The sequence below is a fragment of the Homo sapiens genome, chromosome 10 (genome assembly GCF_000001405.40).
Source record: "Homo sapiens chromosome 10, GRCh38.p14 Primary Assembly".
Lineage (NCBI taxonomy): Eukaryota > Metazoa > Chordata > Mammalia > Primates > Hominidae > Homo > Homo sapiens.
In genome coordinates, this window is record NC_000010.11 from 11,844,538 (window position 1) to 11,867,382 (window position 22,845).

Genomic DNA, 22,845 nt, shown 5'->3' on the forward strand with positions numbered 1-22,845 from the left:
TTTTATATATAGTCCTAGACTTTGCATTTTTTTGCTCAGTAATATACCTAGAGATCTTTACTCATCAGTACATGGAGAGCTTCCTCATTCTTTTTTATTTTTGAGATGGAGTCTCGCTCTGTCACCCAGGCTGCAGTGCAGTGGCACGATCTCAGCTCACTGCAACCTCTGCCTCCTGGGTTCAAGCGATTCTCCCACCCTAGTCTCTCGAGTAGCTGGGATTACCGGCATGAGCTACCACGCCTGGCTAATACTTGTGTTTTTACTAGAGACAGGGTTTCACCATGTTGGCCAGGCTGGTCTCAAACTCCTGACCTCAAGTGATCCGCCCGCCTTGGCCTCCCAAAGTGCTGGGATTACAGGCATAAGCCACCACTCCCAGCCTTCCGCATTCTTTATACAGCTGATTAGTATTCAGTTACATGGATGTACTCTATTTAACCAGCCCCTTATGTGAGACACTTAGGTTTTTTGGGGGATTTTTGTTATTACAGACAATCCTACAGTGAATAACATTATAAGGTTGGTGCAAAAGTAATCACGACTTTTGCCATTGAAAATAATGGAAAAAAACCTGATTACTTTTGCACCAACCTAATACATATGTCCCTGTGTGTGTGTGCAATTTCTCGGTAGGATAAATTTCCCCAAATGGAATTGCTAGGTGCGTGGGAATATATTTTACATTTTGATAGATACTATGCGGTTGCCCCCTGAGGGGTTATGCCAGTTTACACCCCCACCAGCGGAACCTCGGAGCACCTTGTTTCCCCACAGCCTTTTAACTACGGTTTTGAGGCTGCTTTCAAGATTTGTAGCTGCTTTTAACTTTTTCTTGTTTTCGGTGTTCTGTGGTTTCATTGTGATTGTCTAATAGTACATTTAAAATTTGTATTCTGTTTGGGATTCATCAGAATTCCTCTGTCTGTGACTTGATGTCTTTATCAGTAAGCAGGATATAGAGGATACACACAAAAATGAATAATTGAGGAAAGTTTAATACTTAGATTATTTACAAAAAATACAGGCAGGGTTAGGGAAAGCAACAGAGGATGGTTCGGTACCTAGAGGACAGCAACACTCGGTAGCTGTTAGCACCCCTAGGCCCTCGGGGAAAGGGAGGGAGCTGTGGAACCCGGGGAGGGAGCTGAGAGGAAGGGCAGAGGCTGGGGTCCTCGGCGGGACCCAGCAGCCTGCAGGGAGCTGGCAGCCTGCCTTGCGTGCTGGGGTCTCATTGGCTGGACTCAACCAGCAGCCCCACAGCAAGGGTGCCCATCTGATACATTCCTGCTCCTGAGGCAGGAGAGTGAGGCTAGAGAAAGCTGGAGAATGGTTCTGGTGGGGGGACCCTCAGACTGAAGCTATACCACCTAGTATCTTTCATCCATTGTGAAACACGCTCAGCCATTGTCTCCTTAAACATTACTTCATTCATTCATTCATTCATGCATTCATTCATTCATTTTAGAGATGGAGTCTCACTCTGTTGCCCAGGCTGGAGTGCAGTGGTGCGATCTCGGCTCACTGCATCCTCTACCTCCCGGTTTCAAGCGACCCTCCTGCCTCAGTCTCCCAAGTAGCTGGGATTATAGGTGTGCCCCACCACGCCCGGCTCATTTTTGTATTTTTAGTAGAGACGGGTTTTTACCATGTTGGCTAGGCTGGTCTCGAACTCCTGACCTCAAGTGATTCACCTGCCTCGGCCTCCCATAGTGCTGGGATTACAGGTGTGAGCCACCATGCCTGGCCTTGAACATTACTTCTGCCACATCAGCTCTCCTCCCCTCTGAGAAACTCCAGTTAAACACAAACCTTAGACATAGACATAAACCTTCTCAACCTGTGTTGGGTCTCTTAACCTCTCATTGGTTTTCACATCTCTCTGTGCTACAATCTGGACAAATGATAGGTTTCTTCAGATCATTTTTCTTTCTGTCATTCTCTCTCTAGCTATATTTGATCTTCTGTTTATGCCATCTGTCGAGTTTTTTCTTTGTTATCAATTTTTTCTTCATAAAAAGTTGTATTTGGTTGTTTTTTACATTACTCTGCTTATTTTTTAGGTCGATAGCATTTCCTCCTGCCTGTCGCTGGAAGCAGGGAGTCACAGGTGTTTTATATTTCATCCAGCACTGAAACAGCTTTGAACAGGCCGGCCAGGCCATGGAGTCTGTCTAACTGCCAGAGAGGAAAGTTTCTGGGATTTGGTTTGGGTTTTGTTTGTTTGTTTGTTTTAGAGATGGCCAGCTCTGTCACGCAGGCCAGAGTGCAGTTGTATAATCATAGCTCACTGCAGCCTCAGATTCCTGGGCTCCAGCCATCCACCCACCTCACGAGACTACAGGCACGCACCACCACGCCTGGCTGATTTTGCTATTTTTGGTAGAGTTGGGGTGGGGTCGGGGGGCATCTCTATGTTGCCCGGGCTGGTCTCAAACTCCTGGCCTGAAGCAATCCTCCCACCTCGGCCTCCCAAAGTGTTGGGGTTACAGGCGTGAGCCACCACTCCCAGCCTGTCCAGGGTTTTACCTTCTCTTTTCCCCAACTTTTTCCCATAGCTCATGACTAGGCTCAAGTGTCTCCTATTCTTAAAGAAAAAAAAGAAAAACATAAATAAATATATATATATATATATATATATATATATGAATCCAAAATGCTTTTCTTCAACCCCATTTTCCTCTACAGCTATTGCCTCATCTCTCTTTTCTGTTACTCTTTTCACCCCAAATTCAAAAACCACTAACCATCTGCTTCCAGGATTGCTGTTCCCAGCGCAGCCCGCTGCAGTGTGATTTCTAACCCGCCTTCACAAGGTCACCTTAGTTGATGGAGTCAGTGGCTGGTTTTTAGTCCTTATTCTGTTTTGTTGTTTTGTTTTGTTGTTGTTGTTGTTTTGAGACGGAGTCTCGCTCTGTCACCCAGGCTGGAGTGCATTGGCGCAATCTCTGCTCACTGCAACCTCCACCTCCCATATTCAAACAATTCTCCTGCCTCAGTCTCCCGAGTAGCTGGGATTACAGGTGCCTGCCACCACGCCTGGCTAATTTTTTGTGTTTTCAGTAGAGATGGGGTTTCACTATGTTGGCCAGGCTGGTCTCAAACTCCTGACCTCAAGTGATCCACCCACCTCGGCCTCCCAAAGTGCTGGGATTACAGGCGTGAGCCACCATGCCCAGCCCTTATTCTGTTTTGAATTTCTGTGGCTTCTGTTACTTCTCTCACTGTTGAAATGTTTTCTTCCCTTACGTCAGCCACTAAAACTCTAAAACTTCGTGGATTCTTTCTCTTTGATCTCACAGCTTTTCTCTTCTTACCTGACAGCCACCACAGTTTTCACATCTTCATCGTCTCTTTTGTGAACTGATAAAATAACTTGATAACGGTTTTTATTACCTCTTAAATAATCTATTGAATAGTTAAGATGTGCAGCATTCCAAAGATAAGGAGATCATTTGGTAAGAGTGCGTGTCCCTCCATCCTCGTCTTCACCCATTTCTCTTCCCAGAGTCAGCCATGGTCATTTTCCTTGTGTATCTTTTCAGAGGTTCACACACATATTTTGTTTCCCTGTCAAAGTGGGAGTGTGCCCCACTCTGGTTTGTTTTTGTTTTGTTTTGTTTTTGTTTGTTTGTTTGTTTTGTATTTTGAGACAGAGTCTCACTCTGCCGCCCAGGCTGGAGTGCAGTGGCATGATATCAGCTCACTGCAACCTTTGCCTCCTGGGTTCAAGCAATTCTTCTGCCTCAGCCTCCCAAGTAGCTGGAATTACAGGCACCTGCCACCATGCCCGGCTAATTTTTATATTTTTAGTAGAGACGGGGTTTCGCCATGTTGGCCAGGCTGGTCTCGAACTCCTGACCTCAGGTGATCCACCCACCTTGGCCTCCCAAAGTGCAGGGGTTACAGGCGTGAGCCACCGTGCCTGGCCCCCCACTCTGTTCTTTCCCTTGCTTTTTAAGCCAAATGTGTGGTGTTCAGTTAGCCTCACTGCTTTCAGGGCCTTCTCTTGGTTCTGCCCACCCTTCAGACCATGGCCAGAGTCGTCTTTCTAAACTGTAAGTGGGTCCTGTCCCTTTGCAGGGCGTAAACCTCCCTTGGTGCCCCCCTACCTGTCGGCAAAGTTCAGAAATCAAAGCTGCTTTTACTGAGGTCCAGCTGACCTCATCCCCCCAGTTTGCACCTCTCTCTACCTGTTTTGCAACCCGTGTTGTATCTTGTGCTTGAGCTGAGTTCACTGCTTTATCCTGCGCACTTGCCATTTTTCAAACAGGCTTACATTTCCACATCTTTGTTGATTCTTTTTTCTGTTAGGAATGCCCATGGGAGTGGGTGATGTTGAAGTGGTGTTTGGAGAGTTTGTTTAACAAGCCAGGTGTGGTGGCTCACGCCTGTAATCCCAGCACTTTGGGAGGCCGAGGCGGGCGGATCACAAGGTCAAGAGATCAAGACCATCCTGGCCAACATGGTGAAACCCCGTCTATACTAAAAATACAAAAATTAGCTGGGCGTGGTGGCGCATGCCTGTAGTCCCAGCTACTTGGGAGGCTGAGGCAGGAGAATCGCTTGAACCCAGGAGGCGGAGGTTGCGGTAAGCCGAGATTGCAACATTGCACTCCAGCCTGGGCGGCACAGCAAAACTCCGTCTCAAAAAAAAAACAAAAAAACAAAGAGTTTAACTAGCTGTCTCCTTAAATCTTAGGGCCATGGTGGGCCCTCCTGGACTCCCTGTAATGGCACTGAACATTGTTACATATCTGTCTTCCCTTACAGTTGGTGCTATGTGGCAGAATCACTTGTGGAACTCCTTAAAAACACGCACACTCCCAGCCTTTACCCCCATAAATATATTCTGTAGGTCTAGGTCTGAGTCCCAGAGAGCTTCTGATCCATTGCCTGGGTTAAGCATCAGTGCATAGATGGGCTCCTCTCTGGAAGGGAAGCCTCTGACTCATCTGCCTTTCTCTAGTACCTGGAATCTCCCCAAGGTGAGGTAGGAAAATAGTAAGCATCAAAGAATATGCTTAGGCTAGAAAGGAAGATGGGGTTCAGATGGAAGCAGGTGATGACTGATTGGCTGAAACTTTTATTCTCAAGCCTGTTGGGAATGGGTTAAAATTGACTGCTTTTGGGAGAGTGGTAACAATTAAGTGATGTTTCAAGATTAATCCAACTAGAGAATCCGGCAGAAGTGTAGAGAAGAGGGAGAAGGCAAGGAGGACAGCAGGTGGCGGCTGTAGTTGGAACATGTATCCCAAAGCTCATGTGTTGGACACTTAATCCCCAGCATGGCCATGTTGAGGGGCAGGGACGGGAAGAGGTGGTTAGCATTTGAACGTTGTTATTGCAGGAGTGGGTTCACTATAAAAGCGAGTTTGGCCCTTTCTTGTGCTCTCTCTCTCTCACCAGTGATGCCTCCCGTTATGTTACGGTACAGCAGGAAGGCCTTCAGCAGATGTGGCCCTGGATCTTGGATTTCCCAACCTCCCAAACCACAAGCCAAATAAGTTTGTTCCTTGTACAGCAGCACAAAACAGATGAAGACAATGGCTGTGGCAATAATGTAGGCACGTGCTAAAATGGTCCTGAACTTGGGTGTGGGACCAGAAGGGAAGTGGATACAACTGACGTCGTAAAGGAAGAGTCTGCAGGGCTCGGCAGCTGGCTGCTTGTGAGTGGCAGGGAGGGGAGGAGTCGGAAACATCTCCATGGCTCATTTGTGTGACAAGGCTGCAAGCCCCTGTGTCTAGGGATGGGCGCTGATTAACACAATGTGGCTCTGGCGTTTGGCAAAACCAGCCCTTTCAGGGGAATGGCAGGAAGACCTGGTTGCTTGAGCTGCTCCGTATACCCGAGTGTGGCCATTTGCTCCTGAGATGATGGCGGGATGGGAAAAGGAGGGCTTTGTGCGTAACACCATCTAGGTCATTCTAGGGCCTCCTGGAATGTACAGGGAAGGTGAAGGGAGCTGCCTTTCTCTCCTGGCTCCACAACCCACCAGCTCTCCTAGGACCATTGACTTTGTCTTTATTTTACTATTTGGAATAGTGGCAACTTTATGTATATGCATATCATCTTCTGGTTTCCTAGCCTTGCTCTTAAATCGCCATTTGATGTGTACCGATTAAGCAGAAATGTGTTTCTTTTTAAATCTGTTTTACAGAGATGTCTGTAAGGTGTTTCAGAGGAAGTTTTCATGGTAATGCTTGAAGTCTTAAATGACAGGTTCCCCTAAAGGTGTTCAATGCAGATTGCACTTTCTCCACAAATGGTCATGTTTCCATTAATCAGCAAGAGGCTTATTCCTATGAGTCTTCTTTGGTCTTCTAGAAGGCTTTGTTGAACTGTCTAACATGCCGTTCAGGGGCTGGGCTGGATTTCCTGCTAAAAGGGTCAGAGGACCAGACATGGTGGCTCACTCCTGTAATCCCAGCACTGTGGGAGGCCAAGGCAGGCGGATCACTTGAGCTCAGGAGTGACTCCTGAGACCAGCCTGGGCAACATGACGAAACTCTGTCTCTACAAAAAATAAGCTGGGTGTGGTAGTGCAAGCCTGTAGTCCCAGCTACCCAGGAGGCTGAGGTGGGAGGACTGCTTGAGCCCATGAGGTCAAGGCTGCAGGGTATTGTGATTTTGCCACTGCACTCCAGCCTGGATGACAGAGTGAGACCTTATTTCAAAAAAAAGTAGCCAGGGTTGGGGGGGCAGTCAGAGGACTGTATGAAATTAAGGGGCTTACAGGGGACAGTTTCAGTGTCTTTGCTCCTGGAAGTAAAGATGGCAACTTCCTCATAGTTTTAACCTGGGGTACTTTACTTTTGATGTACACATTGCAATAGCATGAGGCTTCCATAGAGTCTTCAGTTTCGGAGATGTCAGCCAGGCTCCCCATGGTAACATGTTAGCTCTTGTCACCTCCCCTCAAGTCTGAACTGTAACAGAGCTGGAGAAGCAACCACAGTTTATGGTGGCTGAGGCAGAAAAGCCAGGAAGAGCCTGAGTGTGAAAGAGCTTGGAAGTGCAGAAGAAGATACCACATTATTCTGTCATATTTCCAGCAGCAAAGTCATCTTGAATATACCCGTCTTTCCTTCAGATTATTCCGGCTGGGCATGGTGACTTGTGCCTATAATCCCAGGTACTCAGGAGGCCGGGGCAGGAGGATCGTTGGAGCCCAAGAGTTCAGTGTCAGCCTGGACAACATAGCAAGACTCTATCTCTGAAAAAAAAACAACAACAAACTTTTAAAAATTATTCTTATGTGTTCAGAATGGTTAACAATATAAAGGAGACATGGCAGTCAGCATCCTCAAACTGGTTGACTTAGCGTTTCCCAATCGCCTTTACCCTAATGGTCGAGTCTGAGAGTGGAGATTAATCTAAGCCATGTTTTTGAGGGATTGAGGCGTTTTACAGTCTCGGCTTACTGACCATTGTCATTCGTGTTTGGTGTCTCTAGGAGTGAGCTGTTGCCGCAGAATGGGCTGCTGGCTCCTGCCCTGCTTCCTGTGATCGAGCCGGCCCTGAGGACTCTGTGGAGATGCCTGTAACCCACCGGAAATCAGACGCATCTGACATGAACTCAGACACGTCCCCCAGCTGCAGGCTCCGAGCCTTCAGCAGAGGCGGCAGCCTGGAGAGTCGAAGCAGCAGCTCTCGCTCCAGAAGCTTCACTTTGGTGAGTGACAGTTTTTCTTTCATGCTTTCCTGTGCCTGGGTCAGTGGATTTTGCCTCAATCCCTCTCCCTTGAAGGAATATTTTACCAGATCTTTTTGGGTCAACTAGCTTGATGTTCTGGAATACTTCTTTGTGAAGTGGTTCTTTATTTTTAATCATCTTAAATTTTGCACAAATACAGAGCATTACCCATAGCCATGGAGCAAATCCCTCGCTGTGGCCAGTAACTCATGGCTGCTTAGACGTAGATAGGACCAGGCCCGGGGCAGAAACCAACCCAGGCAGGAGCGCTGCTGAAGAGCTCACACGATAAACACAGTTGACTCTTTTTTTTGAGACAGAGTCTCACTCTGTCCTCCAGTGGCGCGATCTTGGCTCACTGCAACCTCCGCCTCCCAACTTCAAGCAGTTCTCCTGCCTCAGCCTCCCAAGTACTGGGATTACAGGCTCGTGCCACCACACCCGGCTATTTTTTTTTTTTTTTTTTTTTTTTGGTATTTTTAGTAGAGACAGGGTTTCACCATGTTGGCCAGGCTGATCTCGAACTCCGCCCACCTCAGCTTCCCAAAGTGCTGGGATTATAGGCGTGAGCCACCGCGCCAGGCCTCCCAAAGTGCTGGGATTATAGGCGTGAGCCACCGCGCCCGGCCACTCAAGCTGATGTTTCACTCCTGTGCAAGTAAAGATGCTTTTGTATCCTTCTCAGAATCCAGACCTTTGCATAGCTTTGGGAACTTTACAAAAAGAGTTGGTGAAGTTAAGAGGATCTCGTGCCTTCCCCGGTGAGGACATTCATCTTTCAAGAGAGGGGAGACCATGACACTCACTCCTAGAGGGAGGAGCACAGGAGAGAAATGGTCCCCCGGGCCTCACTAGGAACCATTGGGGGCACCTCTCAGGTCCTCTCCTTCCAGTGGGAACGCCAGTTTCCCTCAGATACACTGAGCCATAAAATTAGCCTCAGTTACGCTGAAGCTAGATATACTTGGTATGGGGTAGTTATTAGTAATGACAGAATTTTCTAGACCCCCACTTGCATATTTTCTTTTTTAAAACCATTATGGTAATATGTGATAAATATTATTTGATTGGCCGGGCACAGTGGCTCACGCCTGTAATCCCGGCACTTTGGGAGGCCAAGGCAGGTGGATAACCTGAGGTCAGGAGTTTGAGAACAGCCTGGCCAACATGGTGAAACCCCGTCTCTACTAAAAATACAAAAATTAGCCGGGCGTGGTGGTGGGCACCTGTAATCCCAGCTACTCGGGAGGCTGAGGCAGGAGAATCACTTGAACCAGGAGGCAGAGGTTGTAGTGAGCTGAAATCGCGCCACTGCACTCCAGGCTGGGCGACAGAACGAGACTCCATCTCAAAAGAAATGCCCAGCACCCAAGCAGCTCTGGTGCCAGCTTCTCCTTCCCTGGTGTTCTGTTAGTGTCCAGGTGGGGCGCCATTCCCCTTCATCCTGCCGCCACCATCTTGTTTGGATCCATGCTCCTCCTTCCATCTCCTTCGTTTCTCCGTAGACGTTTAAATTATTTTTTCTTTGATCGCTAAAGGTGAGGTGGTAAAAGGGAACATTCCTTCCTCCTCCCTACTGCACACATTTCTTAATTCTACCAGTTTTATGGGCATGAGTTTGATTTTAAATTAAAGGATTCCTGTTCTACCCAGTTCTTTCCTATCCGGTAAATCATCCAGTAGCACTCCCGTGGTATATGTGATGTCTCTCTGTCTGTTCCCTGCCGTGCCTGTCCCTGTATATCATAGGGTAGAATAATGGAAACAGCATTGTAAAGCCCACTCATAGGACGCCTATAATTAAGTTACGTCTACATGGTGTGTGTTTGGGATCACAGAATTCTGCTGCATATCCAGCCTTAGACCTGTTCTCCTCCTGATGTTGGAGGAATGTTCTGGTCGTGTTTCCTTGCCTTCCCCTCAGGCCTGTTAACTGTTTTCAGGCATTTTCCTCCAGGGACATTGAGCTAAGTTTACTTGTCATCTTATTATTTCACAGTTGTGTACTTTCCTTTAGAACTAGCAAAATGAGAAAATATGGCATTTAACTTTAAATGACAACTAAAGTGGTTTTCTGTTGTTTTTGTTTAAGACAAGGTCTTGCTCTGTCACCCAGGCTGGAGGGCAGTGGCACAATCATAGCTTACTGCAGCCGTGACCTCCTAGGCTCAAGTGAGCCTCCTGCGTCAACCTCCCAAGTAGCTGGGATAACGGTTGCAGCAGCACCACACCTGGCTAATTTGTTAAATTTTTTTGTAGAGATGAGGTCTTGCTATGTTGAACAGGCTGGTTTAGAATTCCTGGCCTCAAGCAATCCTCCTGCCTCAGCCTTCGCAAGTGCTGGGATTATAGGCATGAGCCACCATGCCCAGCCTGCTGAAAGTTTTTTTTTTTTTTTGCAACCTCTGCCTCCTGGTTTCAAGCGATTCCCCTGCCTCACCCTCCCGAGTAGCTGGGATTACAGGCATGTGTCACCATCCCCGACTAATTTTTGTATTTTTCCTACTAAAGTTTTTTAAACAGTCACATGACACTTGATTTTCACAGAGCCGCACTTAGCAGCCAGTCCCTATCACAGCAATACAGCGTCTCTAAACGTCATACTCCACTTTTTTGGAAGTGTAAATTCTGAGAGTAGCTATAAGTTTTATTCTAACTCATCAGGTCTTTTTTTTTTTAATGTGACTTTTCTCTTTAAAACAAAAATCAACTATAGCAGTCTCTTCAATTAAGCAGTGTCCTTTAATTCCCAAGGTCATGAAAGATTAGTCAGTCAACAGCGTTTTTAGGCCTCTAGGTTGTACGATATGTAAATGCACCTCTTAGAAGGCTCTTTAAGTAAAACATAACCTAGTTAGGCTGTGGGTTTCTTAAGAAAGAAAACCTCGTTCTCATTTATAGAGGTTTTTTGTTTTTTTTTTTTTTTAAGCAAACGTTATTCTTAAAAGAAGATAAGGCCAGGTGCGGTGGCTCACGCCTGTAATCCCAGCACTTTGGGAGGCCAAGGCAGGCGGATCACGAGGTCAGGAGATTGAGACCATCCTGGCTAAGACGGTGAAACCCCGTCTCTACTAAAAATACAAAAAAATTAGCTGGGCGTGTTGGCGGGCGCCTGTAGTCCCAGCTACTGGGGAGGCTGAGCCAGGAGAATGGTGTGAACCCGGGAGGCGGAGCTTGCAGTGAGCCGAGATCGCGCCACTGCACTCCATCCTGGGCGACAGAGCAAGACTCCATCTCAAAAAAAAAAAAAAAAAGAAAAAAGACGATAAAAGATGAACGCCTGATTTTAATTGAGAGTACCCTAAAGTTTTAAGTGCTAGTTGGAGTGTCACCTGGTATATAACAGATCTTTGCTCATTAGAAACTTTTCTCCTGAGCCAGTGCAAGTTAAAAATTTAAAAAGCGTCCAGGTTTGGTGACGCACAACTGTAGTCTGAGCTACTTGGGAGGCCTGAGGCAGGAGGATCACTTCAGCCTAGGAGTTAAAGGCCAGCCTGGGCAACATAGCAAGACCCCTATTTCCACACAAAACAAATACATAAATTCTAGAAGATGATCTCGAATAGTTTTTAAAGTTAAAATAGCCACTTAAATAGGATTGTTGAGGCTATCCGTATGGCCACAATTATGACTGAGGCTGTTCTAAGAGGGCAGTGAACATGAAGTTTTTATTTCTCAAGAGGCTAGTTGTGTGTGTGCATTTTTTTGGTAAAGAATCCTGCCTGTGAACATTTTTTAATGAAAGGTATAGGTAGAACTAGAATGAGTTGTCCAAATCCTAGAATATGTGGCTACAAAGGCATCCCTTGAATTATGTCTTTTCATTTGAAACATAAGAGGGCAGCTTTGATGTGTGTGCAAGGCGGTGCTTCCTGACAACGTCGGGAGTGTGCTTGTGGAGCTTACTACCTCGAGAGGTGATGCAGGCACAAAATAAAAGGCCCGAGAAGGGCTTGAGATGTCCATATGTGACAGCTCTCCTCTCCATGGCTGCTGCAGGCGGCTCTGGGTGTTTGGTTACCACCGTCACCCTCTAAGGCCTGTGTCTCCAGGGCTCACCTCGTCTCACAAAACCCCCTGGGTGCACGGCGAGGGCACGGTGCTGCCTCACACCAGCGTTCCCAGGCTCTCACTCTGAATGAGGTCCTGAAGTCGGGTCTGCCTTCACACATCCCGAAGCTTCCTCTAGAAGAAATAGGATTTGGCTGCTCGGAAAGGGCGGAGAGCTCTGCACTCGCATGGTTCTCAAGGAGTGGAGCTGGAACAGCATGGCTGCTTTTGTGAGGGTGGCTGGGGACATCCCAAGTCTACCTGTTATTTGTTTTTACCTCTGGCTTGGGCAGAAACAGTGATCCAAATTTATGAATGAGTTTTTAGGATTTAATATTTGATGAACTGTCTCGAATCCCCCTCTCCCTACGCCCACAAGTGCTGTGGCCCTGAAGTCACACAGCGGTCTGTGACCAGGCAGCCGGCAGCTCCTGAGCCACCCTGTTGCTCCAGAGCACTTGACACCTTTGGCCCCACACATGGCTCATGGACTAAGAAGGCATGGCAAGCACTGGGGGGCTTCCCACGTGGCCGGGCCGGAGCAAAGTCTGAGGAGTGTGCTAGAAATCTGATGTGCTGTTTGCTCTGTGACTTCAGGAGGGGACACTGAACCGGAGGTGCCTTGAGGGAGGAGCCGCCCCATCAGCCATAACCCCGCCCTTTCATGCTGCCTTCTCACCCAGCTGGAATCCAAATGGTCCTGGTCAAACAGCTGCTTTAAAACATAACTCAGTAGCTTTTCTAAAAGGCCAATTCACTCAACATTTCATACATGCCTACTGCATATAAGAACTGAGAGGTGATGGGATAAGACTCAGTTTGCCCCCTTTTAGGAACTCACCATATAGTGACGAGGCAGCCATGGAGGACCCAAGCTCATGAGGGTCTCGGAGCGCCTCAAATGCTGCACACTTGGGGTGTGTCTGTCTCAGTCAAGATCTCTCAGAGAGAGAGAGAAGAAAGCAAGATCTGTATTACCTGTTTAAAGACACTGAAGGCAGCCCAGGAGCCCAGCCGTCATCTTGTGAAGCCATTATTCTTTGGTTTTATAATCAAAACTGTACATGTATCTCATTCTTCATGGGTTTGGGTCTCTTTCCTGCCAGAAGTACAGGTTTAAGTGAGCCATCTTGAAACATGACAGTAGTATCTAGCTAGAAGTAACCATTATTGGCCGGGTGCAGTGGCTCACGCCTGTCTGTCATCCCAGCACTTTGGGAGGCCCAGGTGGGTGGATCATCTGAGGTCAGGATTTGGAGACCAGCCTGGCCAACATGGTGAAACTCCGTCTCTACGAAAAATACAAAAATTAGCCAGGCGTGGTGACGCGTGCCTGTAATCCCAGCTGCTCCGGAGGCTGAGGCAGGAAAATCACTTGAACCCGGGTGGCGGAGGTTGCAGTGAGCCGAGATCGCACCACTGCACTCCAGCCTGGGCAACAGATGGAGACCCCATCTAAAAAAAAAAAAAAAAAAAAAGAAACCCTAATTAAACCTTTGTCCCGAAACTGTGCCGCGCCCACTTCGGCAACCTCGGAAGAGAGACTCTAAGTGCAGGTGGAGCAGAGATGAGTTCTGCTGCTTCACATTTTTTAAATCCCTCACAGGGGGTTGCCACAATTGTCTTAGTCTGCAGTTAAACTAAATTTCTTTTTTTTTCCCCCCCAAGATGGAGTCTTGCTCTGTTGCCCAGAGCTGGAATGCAATGGCACAATCTCAGCTCAGTGCAACCTCTGCCTCCTGGGTTCCAGCAATTCTCCTGCTTTAGCCTCCCAAGTAGCTGGGATTACAGGTGGGTGCTACCACGCCTGGCTAATTTTTTTTTGTATTTTTAGTAGAAACGGGGTTTCACCATGTTGGCCAGGCTGGTATCAAACTCCTGGCCTCTAGTGATTCGGCCTCTCAGAGTGCTAGGATTACAGGCATGAGCCACCACGCCTGGCCAATTCAGCTGTTTTTTAGGTAGGGGTTACTTCAGTACACGTATTTTAAGCCTTCTCAGCATTTTTGTTCAACCAACCAAAGATTTGATTCTACCGTTTCTCTAATCTGTGCTGGTATAGCAATAGCTAGGACTTCTCGACCTGTTGCTGTTTTTTAAAAAGTTGTCATCTAGCTTTTTATTGGGCTGCTGCCCTCAGAGCTTGAATGGGGCTTGGATAGACCTTTTTTCTGCCATCTCTATGCAGGAGTCAACAGAGATCAGCTAGACTGGGACTTTGTTCTCTACGTGGGGGCTTGTTCTGGTGCATTATAATGACCTTAGTATGTTCAGCATTTTGAGTTTTCTGGTTTGAATGCACTAGAAATTCTCTCTTCAAAATCATATCATATATATATTAGGGTAAAAATACATTGCTCACATTCTTGAAGCAAAGCAATATTTCCTTCAGAGACTTGTCATTTCTTGAAGTCAGCATGGTAGGATAGAATGTGAGGGATGGGCCCGGCACAGTAGCTCACGCCTATAATCCCAGCACTTTGGGAGGCCGAGGCGGGTAGATCACAAGGTCAGGAGTTCGAGACCAGCCTGGCCAATATGGTGAAACCCCATCTCTACTAAAAATAAACAAGTTAGCTGGGCGTGTTGGCAGGTGCCTATAGTCCCAGCTACTCAGGAAGCTGAGGCAGGAGAATCGCTTGAACCCAGGAGGTGGAGGTTGCAGTGAGCCGAGATTGTATGACTGCACTCCAGCCTGGGCAACAAAGCGAGACTCTGTCTCAAAAAAAAAAAAAAAAAAAAAAAAGGAGAGATGGTTTCCTAGCCTGTTCTTTTAACATCTGAAGATGTGTATCCTTAAAGAACTGCCATTTACTCCACAATCCAAACTGGTACATTAAAAAACATCATTTGGGCCAAGCATGGTGGCTCATGCCTGTAATCCCAGCACTTTGGGAGGCTGAGGCGGGTAGATCATTTGAGGTCAGGAGCTTGAGACCAGCTTGGCCAAAACGCTGAAACCCCATCTCTGCTAAAAATACCAAAAAACAAAAAAGGCCGAGTGTGGTGGTGCAGCCTGTAATCTCAGCGATTCTGGAGGCTGAGGTGGGGGAATTGCATGAACCAGGAGGCGGAGGTTGCAGTGAGCCAAGATCACACCACTGCACTCCAAGCTGGGAGACAGAGTGAGAGACTGTCTCAAAAAAACAAACAAAAAAAATTTGTGAGAAGGGAATTTACTTTTCTGCTGTCCGCCTTCTTCTACCTTTCTAACTAATAGGGACAAACTTAACGCTTTCTCCAACTCACCCTTGCCCAAGAAAGCGGCTATTTTTGCTTCTCATTTCCTATCTACATAGTTCCTAGGGACCTGAGTCATTAGCAAACGCCTCTTCCAACAGCACCCAGCCCTGCAGGAGCCTCCACTGCGGGCTCCAGCTCTCTCCCGCCTCCAAGGACCACCAGGCGATGCCTTGTGCTTTTGGATTTTTTTACTATAACAGCTTTATCGGGATACAAGTCACATAGCATACAGTTCACCCATGTAAAGTATACATTCAATGGCATTTAGTGTATTTACATCCCCACAGTCCATTTTAGAATGTTTTCCTCTCCTGAAAAGAAATCATGGCCCATTTGCAGTCACTGCCCATCCCTGCCCCTGCCCTCATCGCCATGACCTGCTCCCCCAGGCCATCTCTTTCTTTTGGGCATCTCCCGAGGGAGGGGTAGACAGATTCTCCCTGCCGAGGGCCACAAGCCTCTTTTCTGACCCTGAGGCCCTGATCCCTTCCCCACCGGCACTCTCTGCTTCTGCTCTCCTCTCCTCCCCTCCCAGGGAAGGCAGATCCGGGTTCACTGTGGAAGGTGGCTTCGTCCCCCAGGATTAGGCAGCGGACAGCCCACAGCATGGCTGGCCCTGCCTTGGGACTCAGGGCACAAGGCCAGACTGACTACAGAGAAGGTGCTTGGGATACACACCAGGTGCCCAGCACTCACTCCAGCCCCACACCCTAGAGGGGCTCGGGTAGGTTGAGGATGTGAGAATCTCAGGCTTCCAGGACCTGGGAAGCTGCTCACCAACTGGCTCGGTGAAAATGGATTTTTGGGCTGGGCGCGGTAGCTCACACCTGTAATCCCAGCACTTTGGGAGGCCAAGGTGGGTGGATCACGAGGTCAGGAGTTCGAGACCAGGCTGGCCAGCATGGTGAAACCCCCGTCTCTGCTAAAAATACAAAAATTAGCCAGGCGTGGTGGCGGGTGCCTGTAATCCCAGCTACTCCGGATCCTGAGGCAGAAAATTGCTTGAACCCAGGAGGCGGAGATTGCAGTGAGCCAAGATCGTGCCACTGCACTCCAGCCTGGGTGACAGAGCGAGACTCCATCTCAAAAAAAAAAGAAAATGGATTTTTGTCTCATTTTATACAAATAATAAGAAGAGGAAGAAAGAACCCTGAGGTGAGACCGTGAGCCGAGGAACTCTGGGATGAAATGTATGAGGCCTGCGTGGGGATCCGAGCAAGGGTCGGTTGATGCTTGTTAGTGTGTGATGGGAAACAACAGAACAAAACCAAAAGCAAGTATGCAGCTGGGTCAAGGCCAGGCATGGCGGCTCATGCTTGTAATCCCAGCACTTTGGGAGGCCAAGGTGGGTGAATCACTTGAGGTCAGGAATTCGAGACCAGGCTGGCCAACATGGCGAAACCCCATCTCTACTAAAAATACAAAAATTAACCGGGCGTGGTGGCGTGCACCTGTAGTCCCAGCTACCCTGGAGGCTGAGGCAGGAGAATTGCTTGAACCTGGGAGGTGGTGGCTGCAGTGAGCTGAGATCGTGCCACTGCACTCCAGCCTGGGCGACAGAGCAAGACTCCTAAAAAATAATAACAAATTGTTTCCCATATTCAGTATTTTCTGCACTATAACCAACATGATCTTTCCAAAATGCTGTGTGGATGACTGTGCCTTGTTCCTTGTTGCTTAACTCTCATCCAGTTCTTTCAGGTTATTGACTGACATGTCATTTCCTCTCTGAAGTTTTTCCTGCACAGACCCCTTTCCCTGGAAGCGTGGCTTGGTAACCATGCACGCCGTGTTTCCATCACACCCCAGGCTCACCTTGTCATAGGAGTTCCACACTCTAGGGCAGTTGCTGATCTTATCTGAAGCCCTCATTGGGTGGTAAGCTCTAGACAGCAGGAGCATGATTTATACTGTGGTACTGGATTGTGTGCTTAGCAGGTGCGTGTGTGTGGCTGTGATTCAGGGGATGCTGTGGGGGTGGGCTGAGGTTTGAAATCCGGCCGTGAAAGTAGGTGAGATGCAGCCGTGCACGGATGGGCGTCGCTGCCTTAGAAGCCGACATAGGAAGAGCCAGTGATGGACTTGAGCAGGGAGCAAGAAGCGACAAACCATAGCCTGTGGCCCGTAGCTGCCCCCACTCCGTGCTTTTGTAAATACAGTTCAGTGTAACAAAAGTGAGGCTCATTCCTTACCTTGGTAGAGTTGAGAAGCTGCTACCCTAAAGCCTGCACAGCCCAGAATATTCACTACCTGGCCCTTTACCAAAGAGTTGGCCATGCCTCCCGAGGAATATAAAGGAGAGAATGGTGGAAAGTTAACTGTGAAGGGTAGGCGGAGCCATAGCAAATACCTAGGAAGACATAGGGCAGAAAACGTGCAAGATGTCTACACTGGAAACTATGAGAAACATTGAGAGAAATTAAAGAGCCAGATCTGTGCATCTAAACTGTCAGCGCATCAGACTCCCTGGAGGCTGCGTCCAACACAGACTGACAGGCCCAGCGCCTGAGAGTTTCTAATGCGGCAGGTCTGGGATCGGACCCAGGAATGTTTCTGACAAGTTCACAGATGCTGCTTCTGGTCCAGACACCACACTTTGAGAACCACACATCTAAATAAATGAAGCCATGAGCCATATTCATGGGTCAAGAAAAGATCGCAGAGACATCAGTTCTCTGCAATTTGAGAAACTTTCATGCAAATCCCGCTTAAAGTCACCACAGGGGCATGCGTGTGTTTATGTGAATATGCAAATTGACAAACTGATACTAAAATTTATGTGGAAATAAAAAAGGACTAAGAAAGCTAAACAGACTTAAGGAAGACTTTAAGAACTCCAACAAAACTGGAGGACTCTGCCAGATATCAAGACTTACTATAGAATGGGCACAGTGGCTCATGCCTACAATAACACCACTTTGGGAAGCTGAGGCCAGAGGACTGCCTGAGCCCAGGAGTTCAAGATCAGCCTGGGCCATGTAGCAAGACTTTGTCTCTACAAAAAATATATAAAAATTAGCTGGGTATGGTAGTGTTTGCCTGTAGTTCCAGCCACTGGGGAGGCTGAGGTGGGAGGATCACTTGAGCTGGGGAGACCTAGGCTGCAATGAGCTGTGATTGTACCACTGCACTGTAGACTGGGCAACAGAGTGAGACACGGTCTCCAAAAAATCAACAAAAGGCATATACAAAACATCAATATTTCATTATGTATATGCAAATATTTCAAAATGTGAAAAAATCCAGAACACTTCTTATCCCAAACATTTCCGATGAGGAGTACTCACCTGTATTATGGAGAAAAAAAAGCTCAACATCATTAGTCTTCGTGGAAATGACACTGAAAATCACAGTGAAATATGACTGCATTCCTCTCCTTCAGGGCGCTAGAGCAACCAGCCCTGCCGAAAGCAAGTGTCAGTCAGTACAACCACTTCGGAAAGCTGTGTCCACCCACCCAAGCAGACACACATCTTCAGACCCGGCGATTGTGCATAGGTTTATATCCAACAGGTACGCATTGCTTATCTTCCCTAGCAATGTTCTGCCTGCCTACCTAACCCGTGCCTAGGTATCTCTCCTTTTCCTGAGACATCCTTCTTTCAGGATTAAGCTAATAAGACCAGGCTAGCTTGAGAAATTTGCATGTGTTCTTGTGTTTTCATCCCCAAAACAACAGTGTACTATGCTTTCAACTATAGTCTCTGAAATTGTGTAGACCACAGGCTCTGTATGGGCCTGGGAGTTAGATGCTTTGGGTAGGTGGGCATTTGAATACCTCTCAGATCACAGTGTGGAAAGCATCAGACTACACCACATGGATCAGCTCTCAATCACTTCTGATAAGACAAAAAAAATACATTAGCAGGGCACAGACGTGCACCTGTAGTCCCAGCATCTCTGGAGGCTGAGGCAGGAGAACCACTTGAGCCCTGGGGGCAGAGGTTACAGCGAGTCAGGATCGCGCCACTGCACTCAACAGCCTGGCAACGGGAGTGAAACCATCCCCCCCACAAAAAAAAAAAAAAGTACAGCAGAAGCAGAGTCCACACTCATAGCATTATAGAGTCAAATAGTCTATAAGGTTTATAAAAGCATCAGTCCGCATGTACCACCTCCATTTCCTACTCAATGGGAGGCAACAGCTCTTAACTCTACCTATTTGTTATTTACCTCCACTATTGACATATTGCTATATATCCTTTGTTTTTTTCATGTGTCTGTATTAAGTATGCACAATTTCAATCTGAGACAACTCTGTTATGGTGTCGGTGTGTATGTTGCTGTGCACAGATGATAGATAAATGCTTTCTCTCACATTAGTTTTTCTGTGGTTGCTCATGGTTTCGGTTTTGCTTGCATGGTTTCCTTTGCCACCCTTGGGCTTGTTGTGAACTAGACTACTTGCTGAGCGCACAGGTGGCTTCCTGGGGAGCCCTCGTTATTCTGGGATTCCCTGCAGCTTTCTCATGTGGACGCTTCTGTTACCTGGCTCCGTGTCTTCTGTCTGGGTTTACTCCGTGTTTAGAGGAACAGCTGCCCTTCCTGACTACCCTGCAGAGGCTTCCTCAGACAGGCTGACATGGGAGATCAGATTGAAGACCTTGCATGACTTAAAAACACCTTTATTCTTCCGTAGTTCTAATTAATAATCGGATTATGTATAGGATCCTAGTTCACAATTTATCCGGGTTTTGAGCCCCCATTGTCTCCCGGCTTCTGGTGTTGCTGCTGAGAAGTCTGTTGCTGTTTTCTGATTCCTGATCTTTTGTTTGTTTAAATTGTTTGGAAGTTATTTCAAACTTAATGAAGTTATAAGAATAGTACAGAGAACTCCCACCTACGCTTTAATTAGATTCACCAATTTTTAAATTTTTTCCACATTTTAACATGCGCTCTCTCTATATACACAACACACGCACACTTTATTTTTTCTGAACCATTTGAATGTAGTTGCTACATAATGCTCCCCTCAATACTGAAGTACATTTTAAAAACAAGGATACTATTCTCTTACGTAACTTAGGCAGTTATCAAATTCTGATTTCTGAATTTTTTTTTTCTTTTTTTTTTTTTTGAGACAGAGTCTTGCTCTGTCACCCAGGCTGGAGTGCAGTGGTGCAGTCTTGGCTCACTGCAACCTCTGCCTCCCAGGTTCAAGTGATTCTCCTGCCTCGGCCTCCTAAGTAGCAGGGATTACAGGTGCACACCACCATGCCCGGCTAATTTTTGTATCTTTAGTAGAGACAGGATTTTACCATGTTGGCCAGCCTGGGCTCGAACTCTGGAGCTCGAGTGATCCACCCACCTCGGCCTCCCACAGTACTGGGATTACAGGCGTGAGCCACCGCACCTGGCTTCTGATTTCTGATCTTTTGTATGTGACCTGCTTTTTCACTCTGGGAAGCTTTCCAGATCTTTTCTTGGCTTTCAGTATTCTGAAATGTCACAATGATGCATACCTTGGCATGGGTCTGTTTGATTTTTATTCATTAGGTTGTACACTAAGGACCCCTTTCAGTTTGGAAACTCACCTGTTCCTGTTTAGGGGCATTTCCCTGAATTATTTTATTTTATAATTTCTTCCTCTCATTTTCTCTGATTTCTCTCTCTGGAACTCTCATTATTCACATAGTGGCCCTCCCAGATCCATCCTTTGATTTTCTTATCCTTTTTTTTCATAGTTTTCTGATTTTACAACTTTATCTTTTAGGCTTTTATTTAGTTTTTCATTTTTTTGTGCTGTTAGTATTTTTTATTTATTTCTAAGTCTTCTTTTGTCCTGTAAAGAAAAAAAATCATGCTGTTTATGGATTCAGTATCCCCTCTTATCTGACAACTGATGATAGCCTTTTTGAAGTTTTCCATCACTCCACATAGTTCATTTCCTGTAAGTTGCTTTTCTATCCTTTGATTTTGATAGCTGTTTCACATTAACAGTTTTCCTCAGATGCTCGGTGGTTATTAGATATCTGCGCATACTCCAGAGTAGGACAGTAAGAAACTGCTGCGCAGTTCTACACTGGGATTCGTTGACTGTAATCTTTACCTGTGGATTGATCTTGCTGGGGAACCCTTGGGATCAGCCTTTTTTGGCTCTTGGATTCCTCGGGTTCCCCAGAGATGACATGCACAGTCCTCCATCTGGAGGGCGGTCACTTGGCTGCACTGACAGCCCACACTGTTAACACGGCACTCCACCGTCAGCTTTGCTCCGTGGCCCCACTTCAGGGTTCCTCTGTCACCTTTTTCGAGAGTAACTGGCGAGTTTTGTGCCGGGATGAGCTCATTGCTTCTGAAAGAGACTTTCAAACAGTTCAGCTCTCTTCACCGTCACCTTGCCCACACTTCCAGAGCCGCTCAGCACCTCCAGGGCCTGAGCTTCTGGGCAGTTCTTCGGGATGCAGCAGGTGGGTCACTGGCTTTCCTGGGCCTTCTCAGTCAGTTTCCACCTGTCCTGCTCTCCGGCTGCCCTGCTTTTGGCTGTTGGATTCTTCAGGTTCCCCAAAGATGATGCGTGCTCCACCATCTCTCTTCCTGTTATTTTGTCATTGTGATTTGTGCCTTAAAAAAAAAATCCCTTCGTTTTAGTACGGTTTCTGGTGAGAAAGGAGATAAATATGTGAGTTCAATCCACCATCTTTAAGCAGAGGTTTCCCGTGATTATGGAAAAACAAGTGTGTTGGATAGCCGTAGGCTGACTGCAGCTCTCCAGTGTGCTCCCGAGAGGGTGCTTTTTGTCATTGACTTGCTAGGAACCCCAAGGCGAGGGCCCGTTATAACAGCTTTGAGGCTCTGTTGTTTGCTCTGCCTTTCGGAACACGTTCTCTTCCATCTGGGTGATGGAGAGGCACACGCAGGCACTGTGTGGCAGGGTACTCTCGGGACACAGTGAGTTCCGCCCTGGGCTGTGGACCAATCCCAACTTTGCTTCAGCTTTTGTCTCTTTAGTGAAGCCAGTGTTTGTTTTCTCTCTTCTGTTCCCAATCCCTGTACTCTAGGATGATGAGAGCCTGAAGTACCTCACCCATGAGGAAAAGGATGTGCTCCTGTTTTTTGAAGAGACGATTGACTCCCTAGACGAGGACTTTGAGGAGCCAGTGCTGTGCGATGGAGGAGTGTGCTGCCTCTGCTCCCCGTCTCTGGAGGAGAGCACCTCCAGTCCCTCCGAGCCTGAAGATGTCATCGACTTAGTGCAGCCAGCACCTGGCGCCGGGGAAGCCGAGGGCCTTCCAGAGGGGACCCAGGCAGCAGGTGAGGGGGAAGACAGGCCATCCCTGGGATGTGGTTTCCTGGTGTCTGTGAGACCCAGAGATACTTCTTTTGTGTTCCCCTGTGTTTGCCAGTAGAAGTTGTTGAGTCTTACCAGATTTTTATAGGGGAAAATACTCCTTGGCAGTTTCATCATCCAGCAAAGGGAAATGCCAGAGGGCCTAGAATAAAGAATGGAATGGGCCAGGCGCGGTGGCTCAAGCCTGTAATCCCAGCACTTTGGGAGGCTGAGGCAGGTGGATCATGAGGTCAGGAGATTGAGACCATCCTGACTAACACAGTGAAACCCCGTCTCTACTAAAAAATACAAAAAATTAGCCAGGCATGGTGACGGGTGCCTGTAGTCCCAGCTACTCAGGAGGCTGAGGCAGGAGAATGGCGTGAACCCGGGAGGCAGAGCTTGCAGTGAGCCGAGATTGTGCCAGTGCACTCCAGCCTGGGGGACAGAGTGAGACTCCGTCTCAAAAAAAAAAAAAAAAAAAAAAAGAATGAACTGGGCACATAAGCAGAGTTTACATTTTTTTAAATACACAATGCATACATGCACAGAAAGAAAATTGGAAATGGCTTCCAGGTAATTA

At 47.3% G+C, this 22,845-nt stretch overlaps 1 protein-coding gene and 1 long non-coding RNA gene across 5 annotated transcripts in view; one reads left to right on the forward strand and one right to left on the reverse strand.

Annotated features, from left to right (window-relative positions):
* Nucleotides 1-22,845, forward strand: part of PROSER2 (proline and serine rich 2) — a 48,922-nt gene that overhangs the window by 21,182 nt on the left and 4,895 nt on the right. The window contains exons 2-4 of one of the 4 annotated variants that reach the window (XM_011519438.3): nt 5,410-5,671; nt 7,460-7,678; nt 21,994-22,246. In XM_011519438.3, coding sequence (XP_011517740.1) covers nt 7,541-7,678; nt 21,994-22,246 — 391 coding nt within the window. In that variant the 5' untranslated portion in view covers nt 5,410-5,671; nt 7,460-7,540. Of the gene's footprint in view, nt 1-5,409; nt 5,672-7,459; nt 7,679-16,511; nt 16,871-18,374; nt 18,506-21,993; nt 22,247-22,845 lie in introns of those variants that run through there. The other 3 variants (XM_047424963.1, XM_047424964.1, NM_153256.4) reach the window with 3 other exon arrangements.
* The window catches only part of PROSER2-AS1 (PROSER2 antisense RNA 1), a 45,103-nt gene continuing 27,328 nt past the window's right edge, over nt 5,071-22,845 (reverse strand). Inside the window, exons 4-6 of the long non-coding RNA NR_038222.1 lie at nt 18,280-18,393; nt 12,728-12,848; nt 5,071-7,219 (exon numbers count right to left, since the gene is read on the reverse strand). This is a non-coding gene — a long non-coding RNA (PROSER2 antisense RNA 1). The remainder of the gene's footprint in view (nt 7,220-12,727; nt 12,849-18,279; nt 18,394-22,845) is intronic.